The 16,489-nt window shown below is 35.9% G+C and overlaps 1 protein-coding gene across 7 annotated transcripts in view, besides 1 other annotated feature; it reads left to right on the top strand.

The window, feature by feature from the left end:
* ECHDC1 (ethylmalonyl-CoA decarboxylase 1) overlaps nt 1-16,344 on the top strand; it is a 54,898-nt gene extending 38,554 nt beyond the window's left edge. For all 7 annotated transcript variants that reach the window (NM_001105545.2, NM_001105544.2, NM_018479.4 and 4 more), the window contains one exon: nt 14,779-16,344. Coding sequence is in view for 5 of the 7 variants with exons in the window: in NM_001105544.2 (NP_001099014.1) it covers nt 14,779-15,187 (409 nt within the window). In the remaining 2 variants the exon portion in view is untranslated. The remainder of the gene's footprint in view (nt 1-14,778) is intronic.
* Nucleotides 14,200-14,259: a silencer, noted in NCBI's record as "silent region_17528". NCBI's record gives its function as "represses an Ori minimal core promoter by ATAC-STARR-seq in GM12878 lymphoblastoid cells {active_cell/tissue: GM12878}" and the evidence as "EXISTENCE:reporter gene assay evidence [ECO:0000049][PMID:35858748]".
* Nucleotides 16,345-16,489: the final 145 nt, after the last annotated feature.

Below are 16,489 nucleotides of genomic sequence, written 5' to 3'. Positions count from 1 at the left end.
TGTACTTGGATATTGATATCTATCTCTAGGTGTTGGAAGCTCTTTGTTATTATTCCTTTGAATAAACTTTCTAACCCTGTCTCTTGCTCTACCTCTTCTTTAAGGCCAATAACTCTTAGATTTGCCCTTTTGAGACTATTTTCTATATCCTGTAGGGATGCTTTTTTATCTTTTTTCTTTTGTCTTCTCTGACTATATTTTCAAATAGCCTGTCTTCAAGCTCACTAATTCTTTCTTCTGCTAGATCATTTCTGCCATAAAAAGTTATGCCATAAAAAGTTCTGATGCATTCTTCAATAGTATGCCAGTTGCATTTTTCAGCTCTAGAATTTCTGCTTGGTTCTTTTTATTTCAATCTTGTTCTTAAATTTATCTGATAGGATTCTGAATTCCTCCTCTGTGTTATCTTGAATTTCTTTGAGTTTTGTCAAAACAGCTACTTTGAATTCTCTGTCTGAAAAGTCACGTATCTCTTTTTCCAGTATTGGTCTGTGGTGCCTTGTTTAGTTCATTTGGTGGGTACATGTTTTCCTAGGCGGCCTTGGTACTTGTAGATGTTCTTTGGTATCTGGGCATTGAAGAATTAGGTATTTATTATAATCTTCACAGTCTGAGCTTGTTCGTAGTGGTCCTTCTTGGAAAGGCTTTCTAGATATTCAGAAGGACGTAGGTGTTGTGATCTAAGCTGTATCTGCTTTAGAGGGCACCCGAAGCCCCGTAATGCTCTGGTTCTTGCAGACTTCTGGAGATACTGCCTTGATGGTCTTGGAGAAGATCCGGAAGAATTCTCTGGATTACCAGGCAGAGACTCTTGTTCTCTTCCCTCACTTTCTCCCAAACAAATGACATCTCTCTCTCTCTCTGCTGAGCCCCGTGGAGCTGAGGGTGAAGTGAACTAAGTAACCCTATGGCCACCGCCACTAGGACTGTGCTGGGTCACATCTGAAGCTAACACAGCACTGGGTCTTGCCCAAGGCCTTCCATAACCACCCCCTGGATACTGCCTATGTTCACTTGAGGGACTAGGACTCTACAATCAGCAAGTGGCAAAGCCATCCAGGCCTGTGTTCTTCCCTGCAGGGTGGTGATTTCCACTAGACTCTGGAAAAGTCCAGAGGTGCTGTCTGGGAGCCTGACACTAGAGTCAAAAACTTTAGAAGTCTAGCTGGTGTTCTGACTTGTCTGAGCTGTAACTCAGACCACAAGACATAGACCTTTCCAGTCTTTTCTCCCCTTTCCAAAGGTGGAGGAGTGTCGCCCCATGGCCACTGTCACCACTGGCTCACAGGGAATACTGCCAAATGATCATTAATATTACAGTAAAAATCTGTTAGCTAGTGTAGCCACCTTCATCAATAACCCTAGCTAGATCTTCAGGATCACTTGCTGCAGCTTCTGTGTTACCCCTTACTGCTTCAGTTTGCACCTTTATATTATGGAGATGACTTCTTTCCTTAAACCTCATAAACCAACCTCTGCTGGCGTCAGATTTTTCTTCTGCAGCTTCCTTACCACTCTCAGCCTTTGTAGTGTTGAAGAGAGTTAGAGCCTTGTTCTGGATTAGCCTTTGGCTTAAGGAAATGCTGTGGCTGGTTTGGTCTTCTATCCAGACCACTAAAACTTTCTTCACATCGGCAATAAGACTGTTTCGCTTCCTTATTATTCATGTGTTCACTGGATTAGCACTTTGAATTTCCTTCAAGAACTTTCCTGTTGTATTCACAACTTGGCTTTTACCCTGAATTTTATGGTAATTACTTTCTTGCTTTCCTTTATAGTTTTATAAGCTAAATATTCTATAATAAATATATTTTTTATTTTTTTGACTTCATATAAATGGCATCATATAGTAGTAGAAATAGAATGAGAAAAGTTTCAGTATGCTAACTTATGAAAAACAGTAAATTTTATATTAATTTTTCTTTTTATAATTTATGACTCAGGTTTCAATTCATCAGTTAAAATATGTCACTTCATGCTCACACAAATAGAGATTTTCTAGTTTTTTTGGTATATAAGACCGTTTACAGAAATCCTAGCCTCTTGAAAACTAGTGTTCAATAATGCACAAAATTCTTATGCACAATAAAAAAAAGTTATTTTATATGACAGTGCCCTCTGCTGTCATCAGTGCAGATTGCATTAGAATGCTGCTATTATTACATTTTATTCTGCGAAGAGGAAGCAGTCATTGGCTTTATGCTTGATATGAGACTAAACAGGAAATGCTGTATGTGTGAAAGTATTAAATGCATTCCTCACTTTACACTGAATACAGGTAGTTATGAAATATATAATTTCAATACATATATAAATATAAAACGTACATCTAAGTATATAATTAAAAGAATTTTAAGGCTGGGCACAGTGGGTCAGGCCTGTAATTCCAGCACTTTGGGAGATCGAGGTGGGTGGATCACCTGAGGTCAGGAGTTCGAGACCAGCCTGGCCAACTTGGTGAAAACCCGTCTCTACTAAAAATACAAAAATTAGCCGGGCATGGTGGCAGGCGCCTGTAATTCCAGCTACTCAGGAGACTGAGGCAGGAGAATCACTTGAACCCGGGAGGCAGAGGTTGCAGTGAGCTGAGATGGCGGCACTGCACTCCAACCTGGGCAACAAGAGCGAGACTCTGTCTCAAAAAGAAAAAAAAAAAGAATCTTAAGCTACATGCAAGTGTGCATTATTACACTGAAAAATCCTCTGTGTAAAAGGAAATGAAAATTAAGACTTTTTAGATGTTATTTGGAACAAGTGAAAACCCTCTAACATAGATTCCGGTGTTCACCTTTATTAGACTTTTGTACTATTCTTCATATTGATTTCTCATCTATGTTTAAGTGTAGTTAGGGTTTAGGACAAAAAAGCACAATAGCAGGAAAAATAATCAGAGATTATTTAATCCTTTAATACTGCTAAATTGCCTAGCTGTCATTCTCTAATTGAAGAAAATGTAATGCATCCTAGAGCTTCATTAAATATTTAATTTTATTTGTTACAAGATGTCTGAGGGTACTGCCTACTCTCAGTATCTGGATATACCAGGTGCTTTTGTTGAGAAGCTTCTGATGAAAACCTATCCATTTTTGAACCAGCTTTTCTGAAAGTGGTGTCTGTTTATTAAACATATTTCAGCACCCACATGTGCTAGGCACAGCCATTCACAAACCTTGTGTCTTGGTTTTTTGTTTCATTTTTCTAGTAATATGTTTTTGTTATATTTTACAAAATTATTGGTCTGCAATCGATTAGAAAGTTTCTTTAAAAATGAAGAAGAAATTGATCCTTGACCAGAGAAATTTGACAAGCACTGTCCTAGGCTACTCAGCCCTTTTAAAACCCGCATACCAAAAGCAACTATAGTTCTTAAATGTTAGAGGCTAATAGAGAGGATTGCATACTGAATGAACTACATTACTAGCCCCAGTTTCCAGGAAGTGATAAATCAGTACAAGTTCCTCTAGCTGATTTTTTCCACTTAATTTTATCAGTACCTCATCAGTTACTTTCTATGACAGATTATTTTAATTATTTCCTAAGAATGTCTGCTTGTTCTAAAAAAACACCGAAAGCTTTCATAGCGTTTGCTAAAAAGATAAGTTCCTTCTTTATATGTGTTGGCCCTTTTCGCTTGTTTAACTTTCTTACCTTGGAGAATTGCCTGGAATTCACTCAACTGACATTTTCATCCATGCCAATGGAAGTACTTCAGCAGATGGAGATACACTTAATATGAATATATAAAAGAAATGAACTCATGTAGCATTCTAACACTGTCCCCTTCCCGCAAAACCCTGTGAGCACCAGCTGGTAATAGATGTAATGTATACGTATGTCGGAAACACTCAGTTCTACTTTGCATAGATAGACCCTCACTTGAGTCATACTTTTCATGTAAAATATTCCAAGAGAAAATGGCTTTTAAAAAACATTTTTAAAAGTAAAAGACTAACATGAATTAAAAATTGGTATTTTTCAATGGTCAGAATCTAGTCAAGCATTATGTTTCCATTTTAGTGACAAAATTAATGTGAGGAAATGAAAAGCTAGAAATGTGGTAATATAGCCTCTCATTTTTTAATCCACCTTGACAAATTAAAGATATTTAGAATGAAATATAAATTAAGAAAATGCTAATACATGTAGTTTTCTATTGCTGCTATAACAAACTACCACAAATTCTGTGGCTTAAAACAACACGTTATTATCTCACAGATGTATAGGTCTGAAGTCTAGCTGGGCTCAGCTGGTTTTTCTAAACCTTGTCTCATGAGACCAAAATCTAAGTGTCAGTTGCAGTGGGCTCTGAAGACTCTAGGGGAGGATTCATTCCCAGGCTCACCCAGGTTCCAACTGGTAGAATTTGGTTACATGCACTTGAAGGACTGAAGTCCCTGTTTCCTTGCTGCCAGATGGGGGATGAGTCTTTGCTCCTAGATGCTTTCTGAATTCTTTCTCATGCTTTCCATGTGGCTCCTCCAGCAGTGGTGAGTCAAGTTCCTCTCATACTTTGAATCTCTCTTATTTATCCTTATGCTGCATTTCTCTGACTACAGCTGGAAACATTTCTCTGCTTTTAAGTGTTCTCATGATTAGATTGGGTCCACTCAGTTAATCCAGGATAATTTTCCTATTTTAAGGATTTAACTTTAGTTACATCTGCAGTCTCTTTTGCCATGTATGGTAACACATGCACAGTTGCCAGAGATTAGGTCATCTCTTCGGGGCCAATCTACCTACCACGTATGGGCTTGGCATAGGGAATTTAATTGTCAGATTTGTTGCTAACTTTTATATTTCTGTTTGATTGCCAGTGAAAAGTGCTAACTTTGTTACTCTAAGTTAATTTTGTAAACTGTATTTTTATTTTTTTAAATGCTTGCTTAGATGCTTTTTAGAAAACAGTAATAGTACCCACATACAGTCATGTATTGCTTAATGATAGGAACACATTATGACAAATGTGTCATTACGTGATTTTGTTGTTGTGCAGACATCATAGTATGTAGCTAAACAAACCTAATGATACCATCTAGGGTGCAGCTTACTACATACCTCGGCTATATGGTATAGCTTATTGCTCCTAGGCTACAAACCTGTAAAGCCTGTTACTGTATTGAATACTATAGGCAGTTGTAACACAATGGTAAGTATTTGTGTATCTAAATGAAAAGGTACAGTAAAAATACTGTATAAAAGATAAAAAATTGAATGCTCATATAGGGTATTTATGGTGAATCGAGCTTGCAGGACTGAAAGTCTCTCTGGGTAAGTGAGTGAGTGAGTGGCAAGTGAATGTGAAGGCCTAGGACATTACTGTACACTTAGAATGTACTCCTTTTACTTTTACACATAAAAAATTAAATGTAAACAGCCTCAGGCAGGTCCTTCAGAAGAAATTCCAGAAGACAGTATTAACTGTAACTTTTGTACTATATAAGCTTTTTAATTTTAAAAAACTTTTTTATTCTTTTGTAATAGCACTTCATGTAAAACACAAACACATTTTACAGCTGAACGAAAGTATTTTCTTTTTTTATATCCTTATTCTATAAGCTTTTTCTATTTTTATTTTATTCATCTTTTTTAAAAGTTTTTTTTTTTTTTTATTAAAAGCTAAGACAAACACACACATTAGCCTAGGCCTACATAGAGTCAGGATCATCCATATCATTGTCCTACCCCTCCACATATATCATTGTCCTACCCCTCCACATCTTACCCCACTGGAACATCTTCAGGGGCAGTAACATGCATGGAGCTGTGATCTCCTATGATAATAATGCTGTCTTCTGGAATTCCTCCTGAAGGACCTGCCTGAGGCTATTTTACATTTAATTTTCTACATATAAAAGTAAAATAACACTCTAAAATAACATAAAAAGTATAGGTCAGCTGTGGTGGCTTATGCCTGCAATCCCAGCATTTTGGAAGGCCAAGGCAGGAGGATTGCTTGAGCTCAGGAGTTGGAGACCAGCCTGGGCAACATAGTGAGACACAAAAAATAAAAAAAATAGCCAGGCATGGTGGCACACGCCTGTAGTCCCATTCCTGAGGGAGGATGAGGCAGGAGGATCGCTTGAGGCCAGGAGGTCAAGGCTGCATTGAGCCATTATGGCACCACTGCACTCCAGCCTGCGGGACAGAGTGAGACCCTTTCTCAAAAAAAAAAAAAATATAGTACAGTAAATACCCGAACCATTAACATGGTCATTTATTATTATCAAGTATTATGTAACATACATAATTGTATGTGCTATACTTCTGTACAGGTAGCAGTGCAGTAAGTTTGTTTTTAACAGCATCACCACAAAAATGTGAGTAAAGCATTGTTCTATGACATTACAATGGCGATGATGTCACCAGGCTATAGAAATTTTTCAGCCCCATTATAATCTTATGGGATCATTGTCATACAGTCCATTGCTGACTAAAATGTTGTTATTCAGTGCATGACTGTATACCTTATTTATAAAGGATTCTCTGATATAGACATTATTTTAAACATAATTATACCTGTAGTATGGATGGTTAGCTTGGTTTCAAGATCAAGATTCCAGAATGTGCTTCAGGAAGTACTTAAAACACTCATTCCTTGATTCTACTTTCTAATTCCAGTTATTCTAAAAACATGGGAAAATAGAGAAAAATCTCTCAAAACTACCTTAGAAAATAGAAAATGACAAACTCAGACTGCTTGGCTTTTAGCATCAACTTTTGGCAAAAAAAAGCATGTACACATTTTTATATGTCTAATATTTAATATTTTACTATTGAATTTGGTGTGAGAGAGAAACTGGAATTGTATTTTTTAATTTTTAATTTTGAAATAATTACAAACTTGCAGGAAAGGCGTGACAGTAATACAAATAATTTCCCTGTGCCATTCATTCAGGTCCAACAATTTTTAACATTTTGCTATTGTGTTTTATCTTTGTGTATCATATATTTTTTTCACCCAGACTAAGGGTAAATAAAGTATTGTACTGTGTCCAAAAGTTACTTACATTAGTTCACTGTTGTTTTTGTTGTTTCTCCTTCTTTGATGTTGAAATGGTCTGGGGTGAATGGTCTCGTTGTCTGAGGTGTTATCCGAGCTCCTTGTCTCACAATCAAGAAAACTAAGGAGCATGGACGCAAGGGGGAGGTTGGAGTCAAAGTTTAATAAGTGAAAGAAGAAAGCTCTTTGTAGTGGAGAGGGGGCCTGAGTGGGTTGCTGTTTTTACAGTTGAATCCAAAAGCTTTTATAAGAAACTCCCCTCATCTCTGTAGCTATTTGTGTAACTCTCCTTATCTCTGCAGCTGTGGGTATGTCTTGGGTAAGCACAAAGTGAAGCTTCTCTTGTTTGTTTAACTGCAGGTCTGTTTCAGGTAAGCCCACCCCCATTCCTTTGCAGGTTCCCACAGAGCCTACCATGTATATGCCTGAAAAGGGGAGGAACCTTTTTCCTGGAAGCCCGCTAATCACACAAAGGAAAAAAGGCTTCTCTGTTGGGCCTTGCTTTCTTATTAGTGTAGTTGCAGTTTAGTTTTTCCCCAGGTTGTTCTGTTTGTGCCTGTAGCTGTGATTTTTCAGGCTATTTCTCCAAGGACTAGCCTTAGCTGTCTGCCTGATTTTTCCTTTTCTTATCCCTCAATGTGATTTCATTTGAAAATACCTTGATTTAGTTTTTGCATTCAGTTTAAATTTTTTCCCTTGTTTCCAGCCTTATTTTATGTCTTGAATATGTTAGAATGTTGTAGTGAATAACTTTATCTATACTTTTTAGTAATACTAATGGCATATCTTAAGGATAAACACTAGAAATAGGATTGCTAAATCAAAAGTTAAATAAATATTAATGAGTTAATGAATATTTATTAATTATTGCCTAATTTTCTTCCATAAGAGATAGACAAGTCTTGCATTCCCTCTAGTCTGTTTCACTTAGCCTTGTCAACAGAGCCTACTATTAAGCTTTGGAATTTGCCAATTTCATGGGTAAGGAACAATATTTCAGCATAGTTTTAATATGCATTTCTTTTTTTTCTCTTTTTTTTTCTTTTTGAGGCAAGGTCTTGCTCTGTCTCACCCAGGCTGGGGTGTATAGTGGTACGATCACTGCTCACTGCAACTTCCGCCTCTAGGACTCAAGTCATCCTCCCACCTCAGCCTCCGGAGTAACTGGGACTACAGGAGTGCACCACCACACTTGGCTAATTTGTGTATTTTTTGTAGAGACGGGGTTTTGTCATGTTGCCCAGGCTGGTCTCAAACTTGTGAGCTCAAGTGATCCACAGCCTCCCAAAGTGCTGGGATTGCAGGCATGAGCCACTGCGCACAGCCCATTTATATTAAAGTGAAGTTGATTATAGTTTCATATGTCTTAAGGACCATTAAAAAATTTTTTTTGGTGAATTATTTATTCATATTTTGCTTATTTCTCAACAGGATATTTGTTTTTTTCCTTCAATTTTTTAAAGTTCTTCAAGTATTAGGGATAATGTCATTATCTGTGAAGTGTTTTGCATATATTTGCTCAGCTTGTTTTTTGACTTTGCTTGTTTTTTGTTTTTATTCTTTTTTGCCACACAAGCCTTTTTAAAAAAACATGGTCCACTGTGGGAGGCCGAGGCAGGCGGATCACAAGATCAGGAGTTTGAGACCAGCCTGGCCAGTATGGTGAAACCCTGTCTCTACTAAAAATGTATAAAAATTTAGCCGGGTGTGATGGCGCACGTGTAGTTGCAGCTACTCTGGAGGCTGAGGCAGGAGAGTCACTTGAACCTGGGAGGCGGAGGTTGCAATGAGCCAAGATCGTGCCACTGCACTCCAGCCTGGGCAATGGAGTAATAAGACCCTGTCTAAAAAAAAACAGACACACACACACAAAAGTAGTCATATCTATCAATCTTTTTAAAAGTTGCATCTGGATTTCAAGTGGTAGTTTAAAAGCCTTTCCATATATCAAGGTTATAGAAAAGTTCATGCGTGTTTCTTCTAGTACTTGAATGGTTTTGTGTTTTACATTTATATATCTAATCCATTTTGAGCTTATTTTCATGTATGCTGTGAGTAATGGATCTTATTTCATCTTTTTTCCAAATGGCAATTTGTCCCAACACTATTTGTTTTAGAAAGCCTTCTGCCTTCTGTGTTCCAGTGATTTGAGGTAACACCTGATCGTGTACTAGATTTCCACTTGCAGTTAGGTCTGTTGTTTCCAATTTTTCTCTAAAATGATTAATGCTGTGATAATTACCTTATGCAAAAGGCTTTATCCACATTTCAGATTATTTCCTGAAAAAATCATGTAAGTAGCACAAATACTTAATGAAAGGATATGCAGTGTTCAAGGCTTTTGGTAATAGCCACGTTATCTTCTAGGAAAGATTCTACTAATTTATATTACCACCAGCAGAAAATAAGTGTCTATTTGAGAGCATCCTTTCTTACAATGAGTATAATCTTTTAAGATATCTTTTATAATTTTGATAATCAAAAATTAAATTTGCCTTTTTAGAGATTTTTGGTGATGCATAAATTTTCATATGTTGGTTGATTTATATGTGTATGAATTCTCTGCATTTTCTTTTCCCATTTCTCCTTTGGGATATTGAGCTGTTTATACACCAAATGAAAAGCACATTTTTATTCCTCCCTAGTGAAATAAAATTCTCAACTATCCAATTTAGAGCCTGCCTATCTGTTTTCAACCTCTAATGCTGTTTTCATCAATATAAATAACCCTCAGCCAAGGTATTAGCATTTCCAGCTGCTAGCCATTAGTTCAAAGTATATTATAAAGAAAGGGAGCTGTAAACGTTCTTATCCCAAGGGAACTTACAAGGTAGCCTTTTGCACTTTGGGAGGCCGAAGTGGGTGGATCACCTGATGTAAGGAGTTCAAGACCAGCCTGGCCAACATGGTGAAACCTCGTCTATACTAAAAATACAAAAATTAGCTGGGCTTGGTGGCGGGCACCTGTAATCCCAGCTACTTGGGAGGCTGAGGCAGGAGAATCACTTGAACCCAGGAGGCAGAGGTTGCAGTGAGCCAAGATTGTACCACTACACTCCAGCCTGGGCAACAGAGTGAGACTCTGTCTCAAAAAAAAAAAAAATACTGGCTTCATAAAGTACAATATTACACACACTTGCACACACAAATAAATGCATGCACACACACAATCCCGCCCCCACCCCAATTCAAAAATAACAAATCCCATTTTTGATTTGGAAGTAACTTTACTCTGAATAGGAGATGTCCACCTCAGGAAGTAGTCACACTGCCCATGATGCTTTGTTTTGTAGTTATCACATTACTTGGAAGTTCTTACTTTAGAGCTGTGACATCAAGAAAATTTACCTCTGATCATGCCAGGATTACTAAATGTTAAAATCAGACTTCAGTATCACAAAACATTTTTATATCTGCTCCCCCCCTCACAACCACACAACAAATAAAAGTTTTCACACATTCGACTATATACCTTCTTACTCAAGCAGTCTGTTTGCATATAATGAATGGAAACTCATGAAGCCAATCATCTGAGACTTGGAAATCAGAAAGGTGAGATTATAGGGAGAATTTTTGGGTTCTTTCTCTTTTCCATTGTTTTGTGATGTTATAGATGGTAGAAAACAAAAGGGAGAAAGTGCCAGGAAAATATACGTGTGAACAAGTAAGTTTATGTTCGAGGCATAATTTTAAAGTATTGTTTGTGGTCAGAGATGCTGTTGCGAATTCTATAATTTTCTATGCTATATTTCCCCATGCGAGCAAGTTTACTTTGTTGTCTTTGGCCCTTTATGCAATCAGTGTAAAAGGACTAGCCGTTTCTGGCCCTACACTAAAGCTTATTTATATTTAAATCAGTGATTCCAAACTTTAAATGTATAACATCATGTTAATTTTGTAACATCAATGGTTTTCTTTAAAATTTCAAGATATTTATCTTGTTACTTGTATTGGACAGTTCTAAGAAATCTTAGAGGGATAACTGTCTTACCTGTTTTTTAAAAAAGATCAGCTTGCAATCTTCTGCTTCAACCATATCTGTATTAGAATACAGTATTATTTCTAACTTTATTTGGCAATATAAAAATTGAATATTTCTTGTGCTCTCCATTTATAAAACCAACATCGAAGAAGAAGAGTATTTGCTGGTTATACAGTGTTGAGTATAGCTCTTTTACTCTGAATATTTTAGAGATTATGGGATTTTAGTCCAGGGGACAACTTTATACTACTTCACTAGCAGAAACACTACTGTTATTTTTACGGACCTATCAATACCACCAACTTAATAGTATTAAAAGCTAGTATACAGAGTTTATTATGTATCAGACTACAAAATATATACAACTTTTATATTTCCAAATAAAAGTAGGTAATACTGTATTCTCTTGTAGATGTGTTTGAGGCAATTTCACACAATTTTTTAAAACATACAGACACACTCTATCTATAAAAGAATTGTGGAGTACATATGTTCAAAGTATCTATCAAGAGACACAGAGATGTTAAGTAACTTCCTAAGATCTAGAGATGAATCTTCCTCTCCTCTTTGTACCATGTTTCTTTTGCCTTTGCTGTATTTTACAATGTGTGGATATGTAGCCAGTCTAGTGGCCATCCTAGGATTTCAAGCCCAGCAGTCTGGCTTCTGAGTGTATGCACTTCACATCAAAGCTGTACACTCTTCCAATTCAATTATTTATATTTCCATCCTTCATCACAGAATTTACTAGAAGTACCTTGCTTTAATAATCAACATTACAAAAAGGCTGTTTTTTTGCAACTTTTCCACTAAAAACTTCCTATTTTAGTAAAATTTGGTAATTTCTTTTTAGAATGTTCTTGAATACATTTGTTCAAGACCTGAAACTTAAGAGTTAACTCATCAAGAAGTAGTAACTCACTGAACAGTCCTTCCTGGTATCATCAACACTTGACTTTGTATCACCTGTCAAAGGTGTAACTCTTTCCCCAGTTATGAGTAGTCTTTCTTATAACATTGTTTCATCCAGACAGTAGTAACAAGAAATATATCCACATTTGATTAATCTCATCTCCTTTGCCCCAGGATGTCAGAGGAAATTTTAAACATTGCCAATGATTATGCTATTAAACAGTTAGAAGACACTTATCATTCTTTTACTTGTCAAAATAAGCAAGTTTAATATGGTTTTATAAATTGAGTCTGTCATTAGTCTTCAAAATTATAAGAGCTAAGTCTTCCATTACTCTACGTAGATTATCCCTTGCAATAATTATATTACTAGGTAACTGCATCTAAACTCTAGAAAGAATTAGTGTATAATCCTGTAGGGTCTATCAGGAAACTATTTTGGGATATATCTTGTTGTTAATATAATAATGTCCTTCTTAAATTAGGTTTTTCAGCATTTTAAATTTTATATTTAAACTTTCATTTTTAGGTTAAAAGAGTCCTGTAAAGGTTACCATCTGAATGCTCTGTTTATTAGAGGAAACTACTTGTGTTCTTTTATCACCAATGAATTTTTTGGTCATATTTATTTAATATATATTTAATGTATATCAGTACATAAGCACACCCGAGGTATACAATTTGCAAAGAATGGATGTTAGATTTTGATCACAAAAGGTATTTTTACAAAGATAACCTCAAGATTTGTTGGAGTTGTAAAATATGATTCCAAAAGACACACTTTACCTTATAAAATAAGGCAAATGGAAAAAAATCACCATAGAGATGATGATTTTTCTTTAGAAGCAAATAATTCCAAATATGAATGTGCTTACATAGGTAATAACTTTTGTTGTCATAAGCTCATCTACATTATTCCAACATCTAGGACTTTAACCAGTTTTTATGTTCAGCTGATTCTAAATGAATCTATTCCTGGCATAGTCCTTTACTCCATTATAGGCACAGCTCTGAACCAATTCTAGGATTCAATTCAGAACAGTTACATATTTAGTGTATTATGTAAAAAGCTTTATAGGATTGGGTTCAATATTGACAATATTCCTATTTCTAAGAATATTAGACATTATTTCTGTAATTTCTATTCCTTTTGATATTGTTTTAACAAGGCAGTACTCCTCTTACAATATTGTGATAAATTCAGATTTTTATAAGACTTGTTCTTTTTTCCTCCCAATTTTAAAATTATTTCTTGAAAACTATTATTTTTCATAGCTATTTGCCTCTAGAAGCAATTGTTCATAATGGAGGCATATTTTCCTTTGTAGAAATTCACAGCTGTGAAGAGAAAGTTTCCCAGTGAGTTAATAAGTTGGCATTTGTCAGAATTCTCTCGGGTCAAAGACTGAGTTTTTTGTTCTTAGTGCTAATAGAACCAAATCACCTGCATTTGAGTATTTAACACGTTGGAAAGCCAACCCAACTTAAGGTCTTCTTTTTTGTAATGAGTAATTTGAAAGTGAAAGCTTCTTGAAGCATGCAGTCAAAATAAAACGCATGGGCGTTTATTTAGTAAAGCTAAATCGTGTAGCTTTACTCAGTCTGTTGAACTGGCAAATGTTAACTCCCCTTTATTGTTATACTTTCTTATTAATCATCCTATTCATAAAAATCCCATGACTGGGGAAAATGAACCCGTTAGGGAAACTCACTGCTATCAGTCTAATCCAAGCCACTATCAATAACTTTCTTACTGGTATCCCTGCTTCCACCTCGTCTAGCTATTATGTGTACCATGAAGATAACTGAAGCCAACCTGCCTGGGTTTAAATCCTAGCTCTGCAATAGCTGTATTGCCAGTTCCTTAAAAAAAAAAAAAAAAAAAGGTATAAGAGCTTTGAAATGCTAAATAAGCTCTTCATGCACATGGCAACTAGAGCAGCCCTTGTAAAATGTCAGATGTTAATGCTTTGGTTGACCTCCTCTAAATAACTTTACACTTAAAAAATAAAATCCGAACTCCTTACTAAGGCCTGTTAAGTATGCTTCTCATTTTATCCCCCATGTTCCAGTTACACTGTACTCGTCCCCAGAGATACTAAGCAGTTCTCTACTTCAAGACTTTTGCACTTGCAATTCCTTCTTCCTGGAACATCTTTTCCCAGATTTTTGCATTGCTCATTTCCTCAGGTGGCTGCTCAAATATTCAGTGTCCTTCTTCATCGAAAATAGCACACCCCCAGCACACATATCCTCAATTCATTTGTCTCCTGCCTCATTTTCTTTTTCTCTTTTTGCTATAAAGCACTCATTGCCACTGACTTTATATGGTTTAATGCCTTTCTCTCCAAACTGAAAACAGCTCCTGAGCACAAGGGTTTTGTTTTGGTCATTCCTGTAGTCTCAGCACCTAAACCACCACCTGGCACTGGTAGTTCTTTGTAAATACTTGCTGAATAGATGCTGTATTTAAAAAGCATTTTTCCCCACTAAGGACTTTTGAGAACCTTAACTTACTATGCTTTTCGGTTTGTTTTTCTTAGTATGCACCTAACATTTCCTACTCCCATACTTTCACTTGATCCACATCCTCTCATTAGGTCACCACTCACTTAAGAAAGATCAACTTTGGGCTTTTAGAAGGTTCTTGTTTGCAAAGGGTAAACAAGCACAACAAAAAATGATACTGTTTTCAAAGGGAAGTTTTAAATACTATTAGTAAATTAAATTCTAGATGAAACAGCCATATTTTTCAAACATTGTTTTTAATATACCTACCTATAAAGATCTATGGAGAATTCACATCAGATCATGAATGGATAGTACTTTATGATTAGAGCATACAGAGAGAGTTACAATTAAGCTTTTCTTTTTTCTTTTACAGGTTAATGACTCCAGAGAGTAAGATCAGATTCGTCCACAAAGAGATGGGCATAATACCAAGCTGGGGTGGCACCACCCGGCTAGTTGAAATAATCGGAAGTAGACAAGCTCTCAAAGTGTTGAGTGGGGCCCTTAAACTGGATTCAAAAAATGCTCTAAACATAGGAATGGTTGAAGAGGTCTTGCAGTCTTCAGATGAAACTAAATCTCTAGAAGAGGCACAAGAATGGCTAAAGCAATTCATCCAAGGGCCACCGGAAGTAATTAGAGCTTTGAAAAAATCTGTTTGTTCAGGCAGAGAGCTATATTTGGAGGAAGCATTACAGAACGAAAGAGATCTTTTAGGAACAGTTTGGGGTGGGCCTGCAAATTTAGAGGCTATTGCTAAGAAAGGAAAATTTAATAAATAATTGGTTTTTCGTGTGGATGTACTCCAAGTAAAGCTCCAGTGACTAATATGTATAAATGTTAAATGATATTAAATATGAACATCAGAATTACTTTGAAGGCTACTATTAATATGCAGACTTACTTTTAATCATTTGAATATCTGAACTCATTTACCTCATTTCTTGCCAATTACTCACTTGGGTATTTACTGCGTAATCTGGAACATTTAGCTAAAATATACACTTTTGGCTTAAAAATTATTGCTGTCAATTCCAATAATAATTCTTAGCTTATAACCAAAGAGCAGTGTTTAAAAGGAGAGCTTCTATACAAAACCTATTCCTGGCGTTACTTTTCATACAATTTTTGTTCTGTTTTACCTGGAAATAATTTACCAAAATAACTGAGTGTTGCTGCTAAAGAACAAAAGTGGGGAGGTATCAGGGAACAAGAAAACAAGAAAGGGTATGATCAATCATTTTCTTCTGCTCCAAACAGCTGGAGTAAAATTCATGGGAAATGGCCCTTCATTTAAAAAAAGATGTACCTCACTACCCACTACAAATTTGGAACTTTGTTCTTTTCAATAATTAGTTTTCTATTGTAAATTACCTACTAAACAGTGGTAGCCATGACATGGAAAGTCAACTGATTCTACAATTGGACATTCATTTGTGTGCCCTGGAATTTCCAACTAGTAATAAACAACTACTGTTGATGTAGTTTTAAACCACTTGAAGGGACTCATGAAGCATCCTGCAACATAAATTTGCATTTTTACATCAGATTTCTTTTTTTTCCTGAAAAACAACTAACCTTCTAACAACTATCTTTCAAAAGTAAATGTAATAAAAATGCACAACATAAAATGTTTATGATCCCAGCAATACACTTTTTAAAAAATGTGAAAGTCAAAGAATTAAGTTCTAGTTCTGACTCATCACAAGAGGTCAAAAGTATTTGCTACTGTAACATTCAATTCACATTTGAGAATCATGGTAAAAATAACTTGCATTTGCCTTACCATCATGATCCTACTGTTGAGTTAGGAAAATATGGTTAGACAGACTCACATTACTTTTTTTCAGAGGTAAACTCTAGATTACTGTGTCAACCCAATACTATTTGGCCATAGATGTAAAAACTACCAAATAAAAGTGGATTTTGTGGTCTACAACATTTTGTGTAAAGTGAATTCATGTCTGCTAACACCGTTAAGTCTGCCATTTAATCCAGAGTGTTAGACTACTAATGAATATGGTAAGGAAAATATAAAATATTAACGGTATATGCTATTTGAGGAATTTTAAGTCTCACAGGCT

The sequence above is a fragment of the Homo sapiens genome, chromosome 6, assembly GCF_000001405.40.
Source record: "Homo sapiens chromosome 6, GRCh38.p14 Primary Assembly".
In the NCBI taxonomy this organism is placed as follows: Eukaryota; Metazoa; Chordata; class Mammalia; order Primates; family Hominidae; genus Homo; species Homo sapiens.
This window is presented reverse-complemented; position numbering and strand designations above follow the sequence as displayed.